Raw genomic sequence first — 5,632 nt, forward strand, 5'->3', positions numbered from 1 at the left:
AACAGTAGGTCCTCTTAGAATATGAAACTGGAAATACCAATACATTCTATTAATATATTGATATTTATTTATTAATATTAACATTTCTTACCTGTTAAAAATTTACTCAGAGGATTTCTGGTAATATCATCACATGTGATAATGTATGTCATGAAATTGAGTATTATTCATTCCTAATGAAGGATTTGCCAGTTTCATGCCTATAAGGAAGTCCCTTGTATTACAAAGTCTATTTCTGGAAAACTTCTAAAGGAGATATTCCAGTTGCCATTTTTTGGCTTTACAGGTAATGCCTGAAAGTTGAGGTATCTGGTTTCCCTGTCTCTCATCCAATACTCCTGCAAGGAGAGGCTCAGATATTATTCAGAAGCACTTGGAAAATTACCAATTATGGCTGTGGAATCTCTTTTGTTCTGGAATGGTTTTAGATGTTATTGATACTTCTAGTTACTTCAGCTGCATTGATAGTGTAGTTTCAGGAGTGTAGTTGAAAGAGCCTGAGAGTATGAACCCTGTGTCTGATACATAACTGCTGTATGACTTTATAGGAGTGAGTCAATACAAAAATATAGTAAAATTTACAGATTACTGAGCACCTCTTGTGTTACAGATGTGTCTCTATGTGTTTTTTATTCATTACTCTACTTCTCAGAATAATCTTCCAAGGCAGGTATTATTCTACAGATGAGAAATCAGAGGTCCCAGAAGTTCAAGTGAGTTGCCCAATTAAATGACTATCCAAGGCAAGTAAATAATGATATTGAGATTCACATCCAGATGTGTCTCATTTTGCTTATCTATAAATTAGTAACAATAATTCCTCATTTATAGCAATGTTGAAATCATGTTCTCTCTTATTCTACTTCATAAGACGACCTGATGCAAAACCTCTGGTACAGATAATAAAGAGTAGAGAGAAATATTAATACAAGGCTGTTTGGGTTATTTGTGAGACTGCTGCACTTTGATATAGGCAGGTGAGAGCCAAATGATTCTCAGTACAACGCCGAGGGAGAAGAGAGGAAGGGTGGGAGGTCTCAGATAAATTGTTGGCCTTTGTAAATATGCTAACCTTATAGATAACCTGTGGTAGGGTGAAGCTGAGCCTGAAAGATTCTCACTTATTCATCCTCAAAGGAAAGCTGTTTTCTCCCTCTTAAACCTATGAATATGGTCAGAAAGTAACAACCTTCAGAAATATAAGGCCCTACACAAGTTTTCAGTGGCTGTATTGGAGTTTTCCCATACAAGCTACTGAAATTGTCACACATAACAATATTAACCTTAAATGTAAACAGGCTAAATGCCCCAATTAAAAGATAGAGACTGGCAAATTGGATAAAGAGTCAACACCCATCGATGTGCTGTATTTAGGAGATCCATCTTATGTGCAAAGACACACATAAGCTCAAAATAAGGAGATGGAGGAATATTTACCAAGCAAATGGAAAGCAAAATAAGGCAGGGGTTGCAATCCTAGTGTCTGATAAAACAGACTTTAAACCAACAAAGATCGAAAAAGACAAAGAAGGGTATTACATAATAGTAAAGGGACCAATGCAACAAGAAGAGCTAACTATCCTAAATATATATGCACCCAATACAGGAGCCCCCAGATTCATAAAGCAAATTCTTAGAGACCTACAAAGAGAGTTAGACTCCCACACAATTGTAGGGGTGGGTTGCCCCTACACACCTGTGGGTGTTTCTCCTAAGGTGGGGATGAGTCAGGGTCACAAGACAATTGTGGGGAGAGGGTCAGCAGACAAACACGTGAACAAAGGTCTTTGCATCATAGACAATGTAAAGGATTAAGTGCTGTGCTTTTAGATATGCATACACATAAACATCTCAATGCTTTACAAAGCAGTATTGCTGCCCGCAGGTCCCACCTCCAGCCCTAAGGCGGTTTTTCCCTATCTCAGTAGATGGAGCATACAGTCGGGTTTTATACCGAGACATTCCATTGCCCAGGGACGGGCAGGAGACAGATGCCTTCCTCTTGTCTCAACTGCAAGAGGCATTCCTTCCTCTTTTACTAATCCTCCTCAGCACAGACCCTTTACGGGTGTCGGGCTGGGGGACGGTCAGGTCTTTCCCTTCCCACGAGGCCATATTTCAGACTATCACATGGGGAGAAACCTTGGACAATACCTGGCTTTCCTAGGCAGAGGTCCCTGCGGCCTTCCGCAGTTTTTGTGTCCCTGGGTACTTGAGATTAGGGAGTGGTGATGACTCTTAAGGAGCATGCTGCCTTCAAGCATCTGTTTAACAAAGCACATCTTGCACCGCCCTTAATCCATTTAACTCTGAGTTGACACAGCACATGTTTCAGAGAGCACGGGGTTGGGGGTAAGGTTATAGATTAACAGAATCTCAAGGCAGAAGAATTTTTCTTAGTACATAACAAAATGGAGTCTCCTATGTCTACTTCTTTCTACACAGACACAGTAACAATCTGATCTCTCTTGCTTTTCCCCACACACAATAATGGTGGGAGACTCCAACAACCCACTGTCAATATTAGACAGAACAACGAGAAAGAAAATTAACAAGGATATTTAAGACTTGAACTCAGCTTGGGAGCAAGCAGGCCTAACAGACATCTACACAACTCTCCACCCATTCTGTTCTAAGCTCTGTCAGTCAATGGAGAGTCTAATAACACCAGTGAACCCCTACTCAGGAAGCACAAGAGAAGAATTAGTCTCTAAGCGTAGTGAGGCCGAATTTCCCAACTACTCCATTAGTTAGTGAAACCCTCACATGTTGTAAAAAGAGAAAATTGAGAGACACCACAGCAATAGTGTTACTTGACAATTATAGATATTATAATTAAAGCACCTGGTATAAACTCAGCACATTGTAGTCATTCATGATGATGATGGTGATTATGGAGATAATTATGACTATAAAATGGTCTTCATTCCAATGAGACTGTTATTTGAATTGCTTGGCTTCAAATGGGAAACCCTGAAGGACAGCACATGTCAGTTTTCTATGCTTACACAATAACCTACACAGCTCCCTTGTGTAAAAGAAGCTAATAAAAATAAATGTAATATTATGGTGAGGATGATATGATTAATTCTAATAACCAGTGATTACCATGAGCTCAAAGGTACATGATTGCCACTATAATAGGAAGCAGGATAAAATGGAATTGCCACATATTCCATATCCTAAATAAACGTCACATTGATCATTCAACATCAGTTTTATTTATTTGGCTGCAATATAATTCATATGTACACTTGAGAACTAAGTAGGAGAGTTTAGCAAAATTTCTATTTCTAAAAATAGAAGTGATGAAGACATAAAATAGTTTCCATGTTCTCTTAAACAGAGATACACATAAACATATCATCCAGGAAAAAGAAGTACAGTACCATTTTGTATGTTTCAGACACATGTTTTCTTTGCACAAAGGCTAAACATAGGAGTAATTTATATAGTATTTTCTCATAACAAATTGTATTTCAAAGAAAATTGTTATTTCCAAGACTTGCTCATAAAATAACAGCCTTTGTAGGTCTTCACCATGAATTTTATATAAACTATACGAGATTGTTTCAGAATTTTGGCTATATTTTTCCTTATAGCTAAGAATAATGGGTAATAATTCCTTCTACCTTTAAAAGGAAACACTTGAAAAAAAACATGTGGAAATCTCATCAAAACCATAACCAACCCTGAGATCTTAGTCGTATCACTCATCTTCAGCCCATGTAGGTAAAGCCTAGACATTGGATAGAGAGGGAGATCTTTTAATGGAAATTTGTGCAATAAGAACACTGTTATGCCTCTCTGTTCTTTATTTTGGGTAGAAATGAGGAGAGAGAGCTTTCTCCCCTCAAGTGGAAAAGCAGGAGTGGCCAAAGAGCTCATCAGAGATTTTGGAAGTGGCTTTCCAGCTAGGAATATTTTTTTCCTGCATGAATGCCACCAAAGTGCTCAAGAATATAGACCTTTTCTAATTTGCTACTGAAAGGGAGTAGGAAGAAATTATTAAGACAATGAGACACGTATCCCCTGCAGTTTGTTGGTCAGAGAAAATGATGCCTGACTTTCACAGAAGTCTAAAGGAAAGAGGTTGGCTGTAGCCTCCTCTGATTTCAGGGAAAGAAGCATGCCTACCTTTGGAACAACTTTTATTTATTTTCTTTAGCTGGGAAAAGGTGTAAGGTTTCTCATGGGCCAAGTGAATGCTTAAAAGGTAGCCAGACTAGAGCCATCTCAAAAGGACTAAAAGGACCTTGACCAAGGAGGATCTCTCCTGGTATGATGGGAGCCCAGGAAAAAGAAATACTGTGGGGTCTTATGTTAGAAGGCAGGAGTTAGAGGGGCAGTAAACAATGAGCTGGTGAGTATATGACTTGCACCTGGCAAAGGTGCCATAAAGGGCTTCTTGGTGAGGATTCTCTGACATTTCCGTCACTTGTGTGTCCTATGAGAAAGAGCCAGCCTTTGGGCATCCACCTCCCTGAGAATCAATTATCACATTGTAACAGCAAAAGTCAGATCTTGCTTCATTTCTCTGATTCTACTTTCCCTCTGTCCCTCAGTCAGAAGAAGCCAGAAGCAACAGTTTATTTGGAATAAGAAAAGAGACAAAACAGAACACATTCCCCCTTTCTAATACAGATACCCATCCTTGTGCCTAGTCTGAGGATGATGAAAGGATAAATTTTAAATTGGATGTGAGATGCTAGTATTGAATTAGATTCAACTAGATTTTTTAAAACTTGGAAGTGAGTTGATTTACCTAAAAGTAACTGGAAAGCTATGCAATCTATTGAAATAATACAAAAAAAAAAAAAAAAACCCAAAACACACACATGCACACGTGCGTGTGGCAAAGAAAGTAACCAGGAAAAAGAAGATACAGTTTACTACTTATATCCTACAGAATTTAATTCATTTAATAGACCAATTTTATGGACCTTAAATTTTCTTTAACAAATATTCTCTCTCACCTGTTTATATATGAAAACCATTATTTTTAATAAAATAAGTTTGAATCTTGGAGGGCAGAGAGAAAGAATACAAATTAAAATGGTAGGACATTAATTAGCCCAACATTGGAACAGACTTATAAGAGTAGCCAACAGAGCCAACTATTTTCTACATGATTATCTTGAGATCAGAAAAGCTAAATTATTTGCTTAAGCCCGAACAACTAGACATACCAAGAGAGCACATCTTGGTCTTAGAATTCGTGACTTGTAGACAAGTTTTTGATCTACCATGGTAATAAGTGGTTTACCTGAGACAGACAGGGACAGACATAACTATTACTATCCTTATTATTATGTTAATTGTTAGTTCTGGGCTTTGGCTCTTTTCAGAACACTACACTTTTGAATTGAAGTTGGGGACAAGATTTCAGCTCTAAGCGATGTCTTTGTAAAATTTTGGCCTGGTTTAGAGTCTCCTTACAAGCCCTCAAAAGACACATATATATCATAAAACACATGTATCCTACATAATCCTCTTACATACATAAAATGATACAAAAAATTAAATAAGTGTAGGAATAATTTCCACATAATATTTTTTCTTAAAAAATGTACTGAAAATTAATAGGTTTGAAGCACTGAGCTTATTTTTTTTTTCTGGTCCAATAGAAAAA

The 5,632-nt window shown here is 37.5% G+C and overlaps 1 annotated feature.

The window, feature by feature from the left end:
* Positions 1,512 to 2,363: an enhancer, noted in NCBI's record as "OCT4-NANOG-H3K27ac hESC enhancer chr5:119530375-119531226 (GRCh37/hg19 assembly coordinates)". NCBI's record gives its function as "activates a minimal SCP1, AML or CMV promoter by ChIP-STARR-seq in naive H9 embryonic stem cells {active_cell/tissue: H9 hESC(naive)}" and the evidence as "EXISTENCE:reporter gene assay evidence [ECO:0000049][PMID:30033119]".

The sequence above is a fragment of the Homo sapiens genome, chromosome 5, assembly GCF_000001405.40.
Source record: "Homo sapiens chromosome 5, GRCh38.p14 Primary Assembly".
In the NCBI taxonomy this organism is placed as follows: Eukaryota; Metazoa; Chordata; class Mammalia; order Primates; family Hominidae; genus Homo; species Homo sapiens.